The sequence below is a fragment of the Homo sapiens genome, chromosome 21 (assembly GCF_000001405.40).
Source record: "Homo sapiens chromosome 21, GRCh38.p14 Primary Assembly".
NCBI classification, from domain to species: Eukaryota; Metazoa; Chordata; class Mammalia; order Primates; family Hominidae; genus Homo; species Homo sapiens.
The window spans coordinates 31,625,743-31,644,031 of NC_000021.9; the positions used below are offsets into that span (position 1 = coordinate 31,625,743).

Sequence of the window (18,289 nt, forward strand, 5' to 3'; positions counted from 1 at the left end):
CAAACCACACACACAATGACAACAAAATAAAAACACTGTAGGAATACTGCAGGAAGGGTTCCAGGTAATCCACATCAACCCTGGTATCAGGTTCTTGAGTCCAGTCCATGGCTAAGCGCGAACACACTCTGTATTAGTGTCTCAAGTGCAGGGGGCCCTGACCCCAGCAACTTTGAAGTTAAACTGTTATGTACATTATATCTACATGTGAATACAGTATTTTAAATTAGGAGGCAAGCACACATATAAAGGTGTTACTCTACCAAATATCAGGAGATGGTTGCGGTTCAGAGAACAGTTAATAAAAGGGCTAACCCCCATGGCACGTGTATACCTATGTAACAAAAGTGCACGTTCTGCACATGTATTCCAGAACTTAAAATATAATTTAAAAAAATTAAAAATAAAATAAAAGAGCTATGTTGGGAGATAATAACTGACTTATAGTTCTTTTTTTTTTTTTTTTTTTTTTGAGACGGAGTCTCGCTCTGTCGCCCAGGCTGGAGTGCAGTGGTGCAATCTTGACTCACTGCAACCTCCGCCTCCAGGGTTCTGGCCATTCTCCTGCCTCAGCCTCCCAAGTAGCTGGGACTAGAGGCGCCCACCACCACACCCGGCTAATTTTTTGTATTTTTAGTAGAGACGGGGTTTCACCGTGTTAGCCAGGATGGTCTCAATCTCCTGACCTCGTGATCCGCCCGCCTTGGCTTTCCAAAGTGCTGGGATTACAGGGGTGAGCCACTGCGCTCGGCCAACTGACTTACAGTTCTTTAAATTAAAAGAAATTGGTATAGAAAGGAAGTATAATCCAAAACATATTACTAAAACGACCCAGAGAGATTTTTCCATTGTCCAACATGTTCCTAATACAGCAAGTCAAAATTCATAATGACTTGGACGGTCAAAAGGAGAATGTTAACTTTTGAAAATGAAAGCCGTGGACATTCTGAGTAGGTGTTTGGCACCCAAAATTTCACTGAAGAAGAATGCTGTTTCTTAGTATCAAACCAAAGTGCAAAGCAATATAAATTAGAGGCCAAGACTTCTCTTGGCGTCAATTTACTTCTGTAAAACAGATTCTATGTTCCTTTTCTATGATCAGTTTACATTTGAAACATTAGATTTTTTCACTAATGAGGGAAGGAAATGGGCTTCTGTGCTACTTTCAAGTCAGTGAAGCTAAGGTCTCCTTCTCAAAGTAGAGCTGGAATCAGAGGTGAGAAATGTCGGGACTTGAAGAGTTAGGCTGCTTTGCATCTACCCAGCGTCTAGAACCAATTCCAGCTTCATAACTCAGCTGTGAACGAACTCCCTTAGGCATTGGTAGCCACGTAGCCAGTAGTTCAAGACTAGAAAACCCGGAAACGGGTGAAAGTGCAGACTGTTATCTAGAGATGTAAGTGTATGTTCTGGAGGGGGAATGGGTCTCATTCTGGGCACTGGGAGGCACATTTAAGAAACCACAAATCAAAATAGTGTCATCATGGGAGCTGCTGACGATTTGAAACTCATCAAACTGTAGGCAAAACACATGTCCAGAATGTTCCACCAATGTGCGCAAACACAATGTGCTTGCTGGGGCTCGAGGGTCAAGAGCGGCTTGCAAGTCCTAAACTTTAATTTTCCCATCATAGGCCCGGCTGACCATCCTCTTGTTATCAAACTGGATGCATCGGACCAATTCTTCATGTCCCTCTAGGACTCTTAAACAGGAGCCACATTCAATATCCAAGAGCCTAATGGTATGATCTGATGATCCACTAACAACCAGCCCATCCCTGTACTGGAGACAAGACTCGCTTGTGCCCATTGAGAGTACGAGCAAATTCACAGGTGCTCATGCTCCAGACTTTGATGGTCCTGTCACCAGAGGCAGACACGATGTATTTCTCGTCAAAGTCTACTACGTTGACAGCAGCTCAGTGGACAACCAGGACACCACGTAAAGTGATATCGGTCGCAGAAGCCATGTCCCACACAGCAATGGAGCGGTCCTTGGAACAGGTCACCATCAGTCCACTGCTGAAGCGTAAGTGCAGTACATCCTCATTGTGGTGGATTAATGTGTTAAGAACTTCACCCGTGTTCACTTCCCACACTCTCACCGTAGAATCCGAAGAGCCAGTTACAATGACACGCTCATCCTACTGCAGATAGAGGACAGAACCTGTGTGGCCATTAACACTTTCAAACATTCCAGGCTGGTTTTATCCCAAATCTTAATTATCTTGTAGGCCACTGATAATTTTTTCATCATCGTACTGTAAACCATAGACACCTTTACTATTTTCAGAGTGGTACTGAATCCTCTGCAAGCTGTGTCGGCCACACCGCTAGGTGGATTCTATAGTCTCTATATCCTGGATAATGTTTGGGTATAATGACCTATAAAATGAATTTGGAGGGCTAGATATGGGTCTGTTTTGAAACAGGTACTGATCCCACCCTCTTCTTTCTGAAAGTCCTTTCCATAGGGGATCAGTGTGTACCATTCGTTCAATCAGCTTCTTCCAAAGCATTCATTCTGAGATCAATCCCTGCCATCCTTTACATACCAGCTCTGCTGCACACAGAGACCTGGTAACCAGGTACAAAAGAATGTTTTCTGCTATGTGATCTAAGCCTTGCTCGGGTAAAGCAGTAATAAAGTCCTGCTGCAACATGGGCTTCAGGTAAGAGTTGATACGTCCATGGTGATAATGACACATTCGTGAAATAAGATGTTCCACAAATTCCAACTGATCTGATTCAGACCCCTGGTTAAAATATTGAATATACAAGTCTTTTTCTTTTTGGTAGTTTCCTTCTGATGGCCTCTTTCTGGAGATGATCACAAATGATGTTCCATTACTTATCTGCCAAGGAGTATTTTTCTTTGGGGACTTATCTTCATCTTGATCTTCCAGAACTGAAGTGTTAGTTCCACATGGCTGGGGAGGCCTCATAATCACGGCAGAAGGCAAGGAGGAGCAGGTCACATCTTACGTGCAATGGCAGCAAGCAAAGAGAGAGAAGCTTGTGCAGGGAAACTCCCCTTTTTTAAAAACATCCGATCTCAACCAGGTGCGGTGGCTCATGCCTGTAATCCCAGCACTTTGGGAGGCCGAGGTGGGTGGATCACCTGAGGTCAGGAGTTTGAGACCAGCCTGACCAATGGAGAAACCCCATCTCTACTAAAAATACAAAATTAGCCGGGCATGGTGGTACATACCTGTAATCCCAGCAACTTGGGAGGCTGAGGCAGGAGAATCGCTTGAACTTGGGAGATAGAGGTTGCAGTGAGCCAAGATTGTGCCACTGCACTCCAGCCTGGGTGACAGAGTGAGACTCCATCTCAAAAAAAAAAAAAAAAATTACAAAAGTAATACATATTCACAATTAAGAAAAACAATTAAATAGAAAAAAGAGCAAAAATGATTACCTGGGCATGGTGGCAGGCGCCTGTAATCCCAGCTACTTGGGAGGCTGAGGTAGAAAAATTGCTTGAACCCAGGAGGTGGAGGTTGCAGTGAGCTGAGACTGCACCATTGCACTCCAGCCTGGGCAACAAGAGCGAAACTTCATCTCAAAAGAAGAAGAAGAAGACAAAGAACAGAGAGCAAAAATAAAATGTACAAGTCCTTCTCCTTCCCATAACTCCCCCTCGCAGGCCTGCCTTCCGCTAGCCATCTCCTGGACTTCCTCAGGCTTGACCCTGGCATCCAGGGTTTCTCCCTTACTGGCAGGCAACACCCACATTCCAGGTGGGCTTCTTTGGAAGCAGAGTTACTTGCCTTGAGTTGGAGGGGTGGGGTGGAAAATCATCCCTTCCCCACAAGCTAACCACACTCTTCACAGAAAGGATTGCTCTGATGTGCCTATGGATCCTCCCTTTCCCCTTGACAGCCTGCAGGAAAGGAATGGGTTCCAGGTCAGAGAATTGGTCCTGCCACCTCTTAGCAAGTTATGTGGGGTTGCCTTTACTCCTCACTTTGAAATGTCAGCGGCTTGTCACTTGTCACTTATATTCTCGGTTTGAGGCTTCAGCTGACATCCTCAGACAAGAGTCTGTTATGGTCTTTCAAATCTAGGGGTCCGTAGATTGACCACCTAAGACCATATTTGTCCCAGTGGCCATTTCATAGTTGGCTCACTCTTTCTCCAGCATGAACGTGACATGATCAAAATTATGACTGCCCTTCATAAGGGTCATTCTGGCTGCCCTAAAGGGACTTTGCTAGCATCTCTGGCTTCCATGCCTACTCAATTAGAAACTTTCCATCTTTGTCCAGTTTTAACAGACTGAGATCTTGGCCAAGCCTAAAATCTGAGGTTCTCACCTATCATCTCCATGAATGAACAACAAATACTACCTACTTTGCTGATTTCTATGACTCAAATATCCTTTCATTAGCAAAATGCGGAATTACAGAATGGAAGCAGCTTGCATTTTGTTTTGATATGGACTTATTCATCAAATATTTATTAGAGTTGACTCTGTGCTGGCACTATGCCTGGACTGGAGGTTTAATAATGAACAAGACAGGCAAGGTTAAATTTGACGAAAGGCCAGATGCGGTGACTCATGCCTGTAATCCTAGCACTTTGAGAGGCCAAGGCGGGTGGATCGCTTAAGCCCAGGAGCTCGAGACCTGCCTGGGCAACATGGCAAGACCTCGTCTCTACAAAAAATACAAAAATTAGCTGGGCATGGTAGTGTGCGCCTGTAGTCCCAGCTACTTGGAAGACTGAGGTGGGAAGTTCCTTTAAGTCTGGGAGGCAGTGAGCTGAGACCATGCCACTGCACTCCAGCCTGGGAGACAGAGTGAGACCTTGTCTCAAAAAACAAATGGACAAAAGATACCCCTGTGAGCTAGCTTTCAGTTCTGGAGGAAAAAATTCTCTAGGAACTGAAAATCTTAACTTAGTCTCCATGATAACTGAATCTTACCTCTTGTAAAATTTGCCTTAATAGTATTTTTAATAGTTAAAGCATTTAAAATTTTTATGTTGGATTTATTTTATTTCATTTTGGAACTCGGGTTCCAAAGGTAGATTTAATCATACTCCTCAATTTGTGGCACACTTAAAAAAAAGAATAACTTTATTGTGGTAAGAATACTTAACATGAAAGCTACCCTCTTAATACGTTTTCAAGTATACAATACAGTATTGCTAAATATAAGTACAGTGTTGTACAGCAGGTCTCTAGGGCTCATTCATCTTGCTTAACTGACACTTTATGCCTGTTGATTAGAAACTTTCCATTGAGGCCGGGCATAGTGGCTCATGCCTGTAATCCTAGCACTTTGGGAGGCTGAAGCAGGTGGATCACCTGAGGTCAGGAGTTGAGACTGGCCTGGCCAACATGGTGAAACCCCATCTCTACTAAAAATACAAAAATTAGCCAGGTGTGGTGGTGCGCACCTGTAATCCCAGCTACTCGGGAGGCTGAGGCGGGAGGATCACTTGAACCTGAGAGGTTGAGCTTGAAGTGAGCCAAGATCACACCACTGCACTCCAGCCTGGGTGAGATAGCAAGACTCTGTCTCAAAAACAAAGAAAAAAGAAACTTTCCATTGATCTTTCCCCAGCCCCTGGCAACTACCGTTTCACTTTTGTATTCCATGAATTGGCCTATTTTAGATACTAATTTTAAGTGGAATCATGCAGTATTTGTTCTTCTGTGACTGGCTTATTTCACTTAGCATAATGTCTCAAAGTTCATCCATGTAGTCCCATATTGCAGAAGTTTCTTCTTTTCTAAGGCTGAATAATAACATTCCACTGCATGTGTATTCCACACTTTCTTTATCCACTCATTTGCTAATGGACAGTTGGGCTGTTTCTGTATCTTGGCTATTATGAATAATTCTGCAATGAATATGGCAGTGTTAATAACTCTTGGAGATTCCAGTTTCAATCCTTTTGGATCAATACCCATAAGTTGAATTGCTGGGTCATATGGTAGTTCTATTTTTAATTAATTAATTAATTAATTTTTTTTTTTGAGAAGGAGTCTCACTCTTGTTGCCCAGGCTGATGTGCAATGGCACGATCTCGGCTCACTGCAACCCCCACCTCCTGGGTTCAATCGATTCTTCTGCCTCAGCCTTCTGAGTAGCTGGGATTACAGGCATGCCCCCAGCTAATTTTTTTTTTTTTTTTTTTTTTTTTTGTATTTTTAGTAGAGATGGGGTTTCACCATGTTGGTCAGGCTGGTCTGGAACTCCTGACCTCAGGTGATTCGCCCACCTTGGCCTCCCGAAGTGCTGGAATTACAGGCATGAGCCACTGCGCCCGGCCCTATCTTTAATTTTTTGAGGAACCTCTATGCTATTTTTCATAGCGGTTGCACCATTTTGCATTCCCATCTACAGCGTAAGAGGATTCCAGTTTCTTCATATCCTCACCAGAGCTTTTTGTCTTTTGTCTGATAATAGCCATCCTGACAGGTGTAAGGTGATATCTCATTGTGGTTTGGATTTGCATTTCTTTGATGGTTAGTGACATAGTTTGGATATTTGTCCCCACTCAAATCTCAGGTTGAATTGTAATCCCCAATGCTGGAGGTGGGGCCTAGTGGGAGGTGTTTGGGTTATAAGGGTGGATCCTTCATGGCTTGGTGCTATCTTCAAAATAGTAAATGAGGTCTCACAGGATCTGGTTGTGTGGCTTTGGGAGGCTGGGGTGGTGGATCTCTTGAGCCCAGGAGTTTGAGACCAGCCTGGGCAACATGGTGAAACCCAATCTCTACAAAAAATACAAAAATTAGCTGGGTGTGGTGGTGCATGCCTGTGGGCCTAGCTACTGGAGAGGCTGAGGTGGGAAGATTGCTTGAGCCAGGGAAGTCAAGGCTGCAGTGAGCCGAGATCGTGCCACTGCACTCCAGCCTGGGTGACAGAGCAAGACCTTGTCAAAAAAAAAAAAAATTGTGTGGCACCTCCCCCGAATCTCTCCCACTCTTGCTCCCATTCTTGCCTTGTGATGTGCCTGCTCCCCCTTTGTCTTCTGCCATGATTGGAAGCTTCCTGGGCCCTCCCCAGAAGCAGAAACTGCTATGCTTCCTGTACAGCCTCCAGAACCGTGAGCCAATTAAACCCCTTTTCTTATATATAACCCAGTCTTAGGATTTCTTTATAGTAGTGCAAGAACAGCCTTACACAATTAGTGACAGAGTGTCTTTCTGTTGGGCATTTGGATGGCTTCTTTGGAGAACTGTCTATTCAAGTCTTTAGCCCATTTTAAAATTGGGTTATCATTATTTTTTTTGCTATCAAGTTGTAGGTAGTCCCTATGTATTTTGGAAATTATCCCCTTATCAGATGTATGGTCTGCCAACATTTCTCCACCCTGTAGATTGCCTTTTTTACTCTGTTGATTATTTCCTTTGCTTTGCAGAATTTTTTTAGTTTGGTGTAGAACCACTTATTTATTTCTGCTTTTGTGGCCTGTGCTTTTGGTGTCATAGCCATGAAATCGCTGCCAAGACTAATAGCATGAAGATTTCCCCTATGTGTTCTTCTACGAGTTTTATAGTTTAGGTCTAATATTTAAGTCTTTAATCCATTTTTAGTTGATTTTTGGGATAGTGTAAATTAAGGCTGCGATTTCATTCTTTTAGATGTGAATATCCAGTTTTCCCGACACTATCTGTTGAGGAGACTTTTGTCATTATGTATTCTTGGCATCCCTGTCAAAGATCAGTTGACCATTATTTGCAGATTCTGTTAAGTCTCTCTCTATTGTGTTCCACTGGTCTATATGGCTGTCTTCATACCAGTACCATATTGTTTTCATTTCTGTAGTTTTGTAAAATATTTTGTAATCAGGAAGTGTGATGCCTTCAGCTTTGCTCTTCATTTTCAAGATTAGTTTGGCTATTTGGGGTCTTTTTTGGCCTCACATGAATTTTAGAATTGCTTTTTTTTTTTTAATTCTGTAAAAAATGCCATTGCAGTTTTGATAGGGAATGCATTCAATCTGTAGATGACTTTGGGTAGCATTGGACATTTTAACAACATTAAGTTTTCTAATCCATGACCATGGGAAGTCTTTCCATTTATTTGGATCTTCTTCAATTTCATTTATCAATGTTTTGTAGTTTTCTGTTTATAAGTGTTTCACCCCTTAGTTAAATTTGTTCCTAAATATTGAACGGGGTCTTGCTATGTTGCCTAGGCTGGTCTTGAACTCCTGAGCTCAAGCGATACTCCCACCTCAGCCTTTGTGACCTGCCCGCCTCAGCCTCCCAAAGTGCTGGGATTACAGGTGTGAGCCACTGCGCCTGGCCAATTTTTTTCTATTTTTTATTCTCTATATTGTCGATTTCTCCTCTAATTTTTATTATTTCATTTCTTCTGTTAACTTTGGGCATAGTTTGTTCTTCTTCTTCTAGTGGTTTTTTTTTTTTTTGAGATGGAGTCTCGCTCTCTCACCCAGGCTGGAATGCAGTGGCGCGATCTCGGCTCACTGCAAGCTCTGCTTCCCAGGTTCACGCCACTTCTTCTAGTTTTTTGAGATGTAAAGTTTGGTTGTTTGAGATGTTTCCTCTTTTTAATATAGGCATTCATTGCTATAAACTTCCCCGTTAGTACTGCTTTTGATTCAACCCATAAGTTTTGGTATGTAGTATTTTTATTTTTAATTTAATTTAGTTTTTTCAGAGATGGAGTCTCACTCTGTTGCCCAGGCTGGAGCACAGTGGTGCAATCATAGCTCACTGCATCCTTGATCTCCCTGGCTCTATAAATCTTACTGCCTCAGCCTCCCAAGTAGCTGGGACTACAGGTATTTGCCACAATGCCTGGCTAATTTTTTGTTAGTTAGTTTGTTTCTGTACAGAAGGGGTCTCACTATCTTGCCCAGGCTGTTCTAAGACTCCTGGGCTCACATAATCCTTCTGTCTTGGCCTCCCAAAGTGCTGGGATTACAGGTGTGAGCCACTGCACCCAGCTGGTATGTAGAATTTCCATTTCTATTCATCTTAAGATTTTTTTTGATTTACCTTTTTTTTTTTTTTTTTTTTTTGAGACAGAGTCTTGCTGTCCCAGGCTGGAGTGCAGTGGTGCAATTATGGCTCACTGAAGCCTCAGTCCTCCAGGCTCAAGCGATCCTCTTGCCTCAGCCTCCAGAGCAGCTGGGACTATCAGCATATGCCACCACACCTGGCTAATTTTCTTGATTTTCTTTTCTTCCTTTTTTTTTTTTTTAGTAGAGATGAGACCTCACTTTGTTGCCCAGGCTGGTCTTGAACTCCTGAGCTCAAGTGATCCTCCTGCTTTGGCCTCCCAAAGTGCTGGGATTACAGGCCTGAGCCACCATGCCTGGCCTCAGAGCTGTTTTTTTCTGCTATTGGCTTCTAGTTTTATTTCACTGTGGTCAGAAAAGATACTTGGTATGACTTCAGTCTTCTTAAACTTGTTAGGACTTGTTCGTGACTGTTATGGTTTGAATGTTTGTCCCCTCCTAAACTTATATGTTGGAGATTTAATCACCAATGCAACAGTTTTGGGAAGGGAGGCCTAATGGGAGGTGTTTAGGTCATGAGGGCTTTATCCTTGTGAGTGGATTAATGCTGCACTTGAACAAGCGATTTGGAGTGGGTTCATCATCTTCTGCACTTTTGCCATGTGAGGAGCAGCGTTCTTCCCCTCTGAAGGATGCAGCCAAACTTCGCAGCACCCCAGCACCTTGATCTTTCACTTCCCAGCCTTCAGAGTTGTGAGTAATCAATGTCTATTCTTTACAAATTATCCATCCTCAGCTATTCTCATACAGCAGCACAACATGGATGAAGGCAGTGGCCTAACACTACAATTTACTCTGGAGAATATTCCACATGCACTTGAAAAGGATGTGGATTCTGCTGCTGTTGGGTGGAATGTTCTCTGTATGTCTGTCAGGTCCATTTAGTGTACAGTGTTCAAATCATTTGTTTCCTTATCAATAGTCTATCTGGATGTTCTATCCACTATTGAAAGTGGGGTATTGAAGTCTGTTACTGTAATTGTATTGCTTTTTTTTTTCCTTTTTACAAAGTAGCCAGAGGCTCAGATATTATCGTATTGCTTTCTCTCTTTAGTTCTATCAGCATTTGCTTTACATATTTAGGTGTTCTGATGTTGAGTGAATATTTATAATTGTTATGTCTTCCTAGTGAATTGGCCGTTTTATCATTATATAATGTCCTTCCTTGTCTCTTATGACAGTTTTAAATTTTAACTCTATTTTGTCTGATCCAAGTATAACCACTTCTGCACTCGTTTACCAGTTGCATGGAATATGTTTAAGGACACACATTGCTCTATGTGTGTCCTTAAATCTAAAGTGAGTTTCTTATAGACAGCATGTAGTCTTGTTTTTTTATCCACTCAGCCATTCTATATCTTTTGATTAGGGGGTTTAATCAATTTACATTTAAAGTAATTATTTATAGGGAAGAATTTACTACAGCCATTTTATTGTTTTTTGTTTTTGCTTTTGTTTTTTTGAGACAGAGTCTTGCTCTGTCGCCCAGGCTGGAGTGTGGTGGCACGATCTCAGCTCACTGCAACCTCTGCCTCATGGGTTCAAGTGAGCACGTCTGGCTAATTTTTGTATTTTTAGTAGAGATGGGGTTTCACCATGTTGGCCTGGCTGGTATCAAACTCCTGACCTCAGGTGATCTGCCTACCTTCGCCTCCCAAAGTGTTGGGATTACAGGCATGAGCCACCATGCCCAGCCTTATTAATTGGTTTGTGTTAGTCTTATAATTCTTTTGTCCATCTGTTCCTCTCTTGCTGTCTTCCTTTTTGTTTTGTTTTTTTTTTTTTTGTATTGATATGCTTTTATTCCTTCCTCTTTTTCTTTTGTGTAATTTTTACAGATATTTTCTTTGTCATCATCATGGGGTTTACAAAAACAATCTTATGGTTAGAACAGTCTATTTTAAGCTGATAACAACTTAAGTTCAATTGTATACAAAACATAATACTTTTATTACCCCCTACACACGCTTTATGTTGTCATAATTTACATGTACTTATCTTATGTATCTATTAATGTATCCTTTAACTATAGGTATTTATAATGCTTTTGTCTTTTAACTTTTATACTAGAATCAAAAGTGATTTACCCACAACCATAACAGTATTGCAGTATTCTGTATTTGTCTTTGTATTTACCTTTACCAGTAAGTTTTATATTTTCTTATGCAACTGTTTTGCTGTTTTAGCATCCTTTTGTTTCAACTTGAAGAACTCCCTTTAGCATTTTTTTGTACGGCAAGTTTAGTGGTAATAAAATCTTTTAGCTTTTGTTTTTCGTGGGAAAACTTCATTTCTCCTTCATTTTGGAAGGAGTATTTTGCCAGGCATAGTATTCTTAGTTGACAAGTTTTTTTTTTCCTTTCAGTACTTTGATTATATTACCCTATTCCCTTCTGGCCTACAAAGTTTCCACTGAGAAATCAACTTATAGTCTTATAGGGGCTCCCTTGTACATGTCCTTATACATTCTCCTCTTAACCATTTATTATTTATTATTATTAATATTATTATTATTTACAGATAGGGCTTACTCTGTGGCCAAGACTTCAATGCAGTGGTGTGATAATAGTTCAATGAAGCCTCGAATGCCTGGGCAAAAGGGATCCTCCCATCTCAGCCTCCAGATTAGCTGGGACTACAGGCACAGGCCACAATGTCCCGCTAATTATTTTATTTTTCGTAGACACAGGGTCTTGCTTTGTTGCCCAGGCTGGTCTCAAACTCCTGGGCTCAAGTGATCCTCCTGCCCTGACCTCTCAAAGTGCTGGAATTACAGGCATGAATCACCACACCAGGCACTTCTTGACCATTTTTAAGTGTATAATTCAGTAGCATTAAGTATTTCATATTGTTGTTGAACCAGTCTCCAGACTTCTTTTCATCCTGTAAATCTAAAACTCTATACCCATTAAATGATAACTCTTCATCCCTCCCTTGCCTTAGCACCTGTCAGCCACCATTCCACTCTTTGTCTCTATGGATTTGACTAATCTGTTTATCTCATATAAGTGAAATCATATGATATTTGTCATTTAATTTTATTGTATTGTAGAGATGGATCTCACTCTGTTGCCCAGACTGGAGTTCAGTGGCATGGTCATAGCCCCCTGCAGCCTTGACCTCCTGGGCTCAAGCAATTCTCTTGCCTCAGCCTCCCAAGTAGCTGGAACTACAGGCATGCATTACCTTGCATGGCTAATTAATTTTTTTTGTAGAGACAGGATCTCATTATGTTGGCCACGTTGTTTCCAAACTCCTGGTTTCAAGCAATCCTCCTGCCTTGGCCTCCCAAAATGCTGGGATTATAGGCATGAGCCACCTCACCTGGACTATTTGTTCTTTTTTGTCTGGCACATATTGCTTAACATAAGGTCTTCAAAGTTTATCAGTGATGTAGCATGTTTCAAAATTTCCTTCTGTTTTAAGAATAAATAATATTCTGTTGAATAGATACTCTACATTTTACTTATTCATTCATCGGACAATAGAAACTTGGGTTGCTTACACCTTTTGGTTATTGTGAATACTGCTGCTATGAACACAGGTATACACATATCTACTCATGTCCTACTTTCAATCCTTGTAGGTATATACCCAGAAGTGGAATTGCTCCCTCACTATTTATTTTTACTTTTATTTTTGAAACAGAGTCTTGTTCTGTTGTCCAGGGTGGAGTACAGTGGTGCAATCTTGGCTCACCGCAACCTCCGCCTCCCACGTTCAAGCAATTCTCCTGCGTCAGCCTCCCAAGTAGCTGGGACTACAGGTGCCTGCCACCACGTCTGGCTAGTTTTTGTATTTTTAGTAGAGACAGGGTTTTACTATGTTGGCCAGACTGGTCTTGAACTCTTGACCTCAAATGATCTGCCTGCCCCAGCCTCCCAAAGTGCTGGGATTACAGGTGTGAGCCACCGCGCCTGGCCACCCCCTCACTATTTTTAATTATAAACTAAATGGCTCTGTGTTGAAAAAAGAAAGTCAGGATGGGCACACAGTCTGTTGAATATTTACCACCAGTTTGATATCTTAACTGGAGGTCCTCATTTAAAATGAAGAAAAGGGGCCAGGTAAGGTAGCTCACACCTCTAATCCCAAGACTTTAGGAGGCCTAGGTGGACAGATCATTTGAGGTCAGGAGTTCGAGACCAGCCTGGCCAACACTGTGAAGCTCCGTCTCTGCTAAAAAAGTACAAAAATTATCTGGCATGGTGGTGTGTGCCTGTAGTCCCAGCTACTTGGGAGGCTGAGGCAGGAGAATCATTTGAACCTGGGAGGCAGAGGTTGCAGTGAGCCGAGATCGCACCACTGCACTCCAGCCTGGGTGACAGGGTGAGACTCAGTCTCAAATAAAATAAAATAGCCGGTGTGGTGGCTCACGCCTGTAATCCCAGCACTTTGGGAGGCTGAGGCAGGCAGATCACGAGGTCAGGAGTTCAAGACCAACCTGACCCATATGGTGAAACCCCATCTCTACTAAAAATACAAAAACTAGATGGGCGTGGTGGCACGTGCCTGTAGTCCCAGCTACTCGGGAGGCTGAGACAGAAGAATCACTTGAACCTGAGAGGTGGAAGGTGCAGTGAGCCAAGATCGTGCTACTGTACTCCAGCCTGAGCAACAGAGTGAGACTCTGTCTCAAAAAATAAAATAAAGTAAATAAAATGAAGGAAAGGGATTTTTTTTTGAGACAAGTTATTGCTTTGTTGCCCAGGCTAGAGTGCAGTGGCACAATCTTGGCTCACTGCAACCTCAGTCTCCTAGGTTCAAGTGATTCTCCTGCTTCAGCCTCCCAAGTAGCTGGGATTACAGGTGACCATCATCATGCCTGGCTAATTTTTGTATTTTTAGTAGAGACAGTGTTTCACCATGTTGGCCAAGTAGGTCTAGAACTCCTGACCTCAAGTGATCCACCTGCCTCGGCCTCCCAAAGTGCTGGACTATTTTGGAAGGTGTGAGCCACCGTGCCTGGCTAGGAAATGGATTTTTTTTTTTTACCTTCTCACAGATTCATATAAGGTCCCACTCACTGACATTCTTTCAATCACATCTTGTTTCTGGTGTAACTATTTACACTTCTCTCTCTCTCTCTCTGTTCATAAATTGTACCCATCACAAGTATCATAATCTTATTAAACACTTCCCATACTCACATAGCTAATAGCCTTACATTGTAGATATGTAATTTCACACAATCTGTTGCTTTAAGTTTATATAAAAGATCAAGTTCCTTTCAATAAAAGAACAACAACAATAAAAAGATTATGACCTTACAAAAAGCCCTTGAAATGTCTAAAATAGATTAAATAAAATATAGACCAGCACCTCAACAGGGAATAAGAAACAGCTAGCATTTCACAGACTTACACAAAGCCAATGAACACATGAACATGTACTCATTAGCATGAATAATCAAATAAGTAGAAATTTAAAATGAGGTTTTCTTTTTCACCTCTCAGATTGGTAGGTAAAGAGACTGGTATTATGGTTTGGTGAGGCTGTAGGGAAATAAACAGAGTAGGAATGGAATTAAGCACAACCATTTTGTTTTTTAAATTCATTTTATTATTTTTATATATTTTGAGACAAGATCTCACTCTGTCTCCCAGGCTGGAGTGCAGTGGCGTGATCTCGGCTCACTGCAACCTCCGCCTCCTGGGTTCAAGTGACTCTTGTGCCTCAGCCTCCCGAGTAGCTGAGATTACAGCGGTGCGCCACCAAGCCCCGCTAATTTTTGTATTTTTTAGTAGAGATGCGGTTTTGTCATGTTGGCCAGGCTGTAAGCACAACCATTTTGAAACACAATTTGGCAACAACTTGTGAGCTGGCATATATACTTTGAGCAATTTGTATCTCAGAAGCATTCCACAAGTCCATAAGAATATATACATGTCCATAGAAAATACACATCTGTTCTAATAGCAAATAATTGAAAACATCTACAAGTCCATCCATAGGTGTGATATGTTGAATTGTGTCCCCTAAAAAGATAAGTTTAAGTCCTAATCCATGGCATACTTGCGAATGTGACCTTACTTGGAAATACAGTCTGTGCAGATGTGATTAGTTAAGACAATGGTCCCCAACCTTTTTTGCACCAGGGACTGATATGAGAATCTAATGCTGCCACTGATTTGACAGGAGGCGGAGTTCAGGTGGTAATACTTGTCACCACTCACCTCCTGCCATGTGGCCCGGTTCCTAGCAGTCCACAGACTGGTACTGGTCTGCAGCCCAGGGATTGGGGACCCTTGAGTTAAGATGAGGGCATATTGATATGGCTCCGATGAGTGGAGGAACACAAGGGTTCTTGGTCCTCATGCCGGTTTAGATAAAACAACATGGACACAAGTGGAGTGGTTTTTTTTTTGTTGTTTTTTTTTGTTTTGTTTTTTTTTTGAGACGGAGTCTCGCTGTCGCCCAGGCTGGAGTGCAGTGGCGCAATCTCGGCTCACTGCAGGCTCCGCCCCCTGGGGTTCACGCCATTCTCCTGCCTCAGCCTCCCGAGTAGCTGGGACTACAGGCGCCCGCCACCTCGCCCGGCTAATTTTTTGTATTTTTAGTAGAGACGGGGTTTCACCGTGTTAGCCAGGATGGTCTCGATCTCCTGACCTCGTGATCCGCCCGCCTCGGCCTCCCAAAGTGCTGGGATTACAGGCGTGAGCCACCGCGCCCGGCCGTGGAGTGGTTTTAATAGGCAAGTTTAATAGGCAAGAAGGGAGAAGGCAGAAGGAAGAAGCTCCCTCGTACAGAGACAAGAGGCAGAGAGGCTCCAAAGCCGAAAGAGTAGACACCAAGTGGAGTGAAAACCAGCTAAGTTTATATAGAGGCTGGAGGAGGCGGTGTCTGATTTGCACAGGGCTCAGGGGATTGGTTTGACCAGGCATGTCATTCACGCAGCCCGGGAAAAAGCTGGTCCACCCACCCTAGCCTTTTAATATGCAAATGCAGAGCACCATGATGTTCTACACACGTGGGGATACGTGGGGGCGGCCATGTTTGCCAGGCACTTGTGGGGCAAGGGCAAGAAGAAGAGGGTGGGAATTGTCATGTTTGGGTAGACCCAGTTTCTAATGGCCAGCATGTGCATATCAAAGGTTGCTGGCCTGGCTCTAAGAGCCTGGGCTTGACAAGAAACCTTTCTGGAACAGCTTTAAAAATGAAAACTTCCCAAGGACCCCTTTTCCTCTCTATCTGCCTAAAATAATTTCTTAATAACTCCTACCACAATACGGGATTAGAGTTGATCCTAAACCCAATGATGGGTGTCCTTGGAAGAAGAGGAGAGGACACACAGAAACAAGACACATATAGAGAGGAAGACCATGTGACCACATTGGCAGAGATTGGTGTGATGGGGCCATAAGCCAACGAACACCAGGAGCCACCAGAAGCTAGAAGAGGCAAGGGAGGATTCATTTCTAGAGCTGTTAGAGAGACTGCAGCCCCACTGAGACCTTGATTTTGCAAATCCGCCCTCTAGAACTGTGGGAAAATAAATTTCTGTTGTTTTAAGCCACCCAATTTGTGGTAATTTGTTATGGCAGCCCCAAAAAAATATTGTAATAAGGGTTAGTTCAATAAATAGTGGTACAGGCCAGGTGTGGTGGCTCACACCTGTAATCTCAGCACTTTGGGAGGCCGAGGTGGGTGGACTGCTTGAGGCAGGAGTTCGAGACCAGCCTGCCCAATGTGGTGAAACCTCATCTCTACTAAAAATACAAAAATTAGCTGGGCATGGTGGCACGTGCCTGTAGTCCCAGCTACTCTGGAGACTGAGGCAGGAGAATCGCTTGAACCCAGGTGGAGGTTGCAGTGAGCCAAGATTGTGCCACTGTGCTCCAGCCTGGACGACAGTGAGACTCTGTCTCAAATAAATAAATAAATAAATAGTGGTACATACACGTGACTAAAGATGGAAGTGAAAACCTCCCATCTATTCCCTTTTTTTCGTTTTTTTTTTTGAGACGCAGTCTTTGCCCTGTTGCTCAGGCTGGAGTCCAGTGGTGCAATCTCGGCTCACCTCTGCTTCCTGGGTTCCGGAGATTCTCCTGCCTCAGACTCCAAGTAGTTGGAATTACAAGCCCACACCACGCCAGGCTGATTTTTGTATTTTTACTAGAGACGGGGGTTTCACTATGTTGGCCAGGCTGGTCTCAAACTCCTGACCTCGGGTGATCCGCTCACCTTGGCCTCCCAGAGTGCTGGGATTACAGGCATGAGCCACCGTGCCCAGCCTATTCTCTTTTATGTTTTGGTTTCTGAACTATGTGAAAATAATTTATTTCATGAAAATAAAGTACAATTTAAGGGCTGGGTGTGGTGGCTCATGCCTGTAATCCTAGCACTTTGGGAGGCGGAGGCAGGAGTATTGCTTAAGCTCAGGGGTTTGATACCAGCCTGGGCAACATCGTGAAACCCCATCTCTACAAAAACTAGCCAGGCATGGTGGCATGCATCTGTAGTCTCAGCTGCTCAGGAGGCTGAACAGGTAGGATTGCTTGAGCCTGAGAGGCTGGGGTTGCAATGAGTGTGATCGTGCCACTGTACTCCAGCTTGGGGGACAGAGTGAGACCTTGTCTCAAAAAATAAATAAGTAAATATGGCTCACGCCTGTAATCCCAGCAGTTTGTGAAGCTGAGCCAGGCGGATCACCTAAGGTCAGGAGTTCAAGACCAGCCTGGCCAACATGGTGAAACCCCATCTCTACTAAAAATACAAAAATTAGCCTGATGTGGTGGCGTGTGCCTGTAGTCCCAGCTATTCAGGATGCTGAGGCAAGAGAATTGCTTCAACTTGGGAGGTGGAGGTTGCAGTGAGCCAAGATGGCACCATTGTACTCCAGCCTGGGCAACAAGAGCGAAACTCCGTCTTGAAAATAAATAAATGAATAAATAAAATAAAGTAAATGTGATTCTGAGCCTTGTTCTATATAGCACTAAAAGATTAACTCAAAGCACATGTTGTAAGAAAACTGGAAGAGGAAGAGAGTCCCGATCAAGTAGCATAGGAAGAAGAGTTTTTATTTTTATGAATATAAGAAAACCAGCCTGGGCAACATGGTGAAACCCCATCTCTACAAAAAAGTACAAAAGTACTTTTTTTCAGACGTGGTGGCACATACCTGTAGTCCCAGCTACTCCAGAGGCTAAGGTGGGAGGATCTCTTGAGCCTGGGAGAGGGAGGCTGCAGTGAGCTGTAATTGTGCCACTGCACTCCAGCCTGGGCAACACAGCAAGACCCTTTCTCCAAAAAAAAAAAAAAAAAAAAAAAAAGAGAAAAT

At 43.0% G+C, this 18,289-nt stretch overlaps 1 pseudogene, besides 1 other annotated feature; it reads right to left on the reverse strand.

The window, feature by feature from the left end:
• On the reverse strand, positions 1,315 to 2,918 carry FBXW11P1 (F-box and WD repeat domain containing 11 pseudogene 1; annotated as a pseudogene).
• Positions 15,265 to 15,482: a silencer, noted in NCBI's record as "fragment chr21:33013320-33013537 (GRCh37/hg19 assembly coordinates)". NCBI's record gives its function as "represses an EF-1alpha promoter that drives an FKBP-Casp9 reporter gene in an ReSE screen in K562 erythroleukemia cells {active_cell/tissue: K562}" and the evidence as "EXISTENCE:reporter gene assay evidence [ECO:0000049][PMID:32094911]".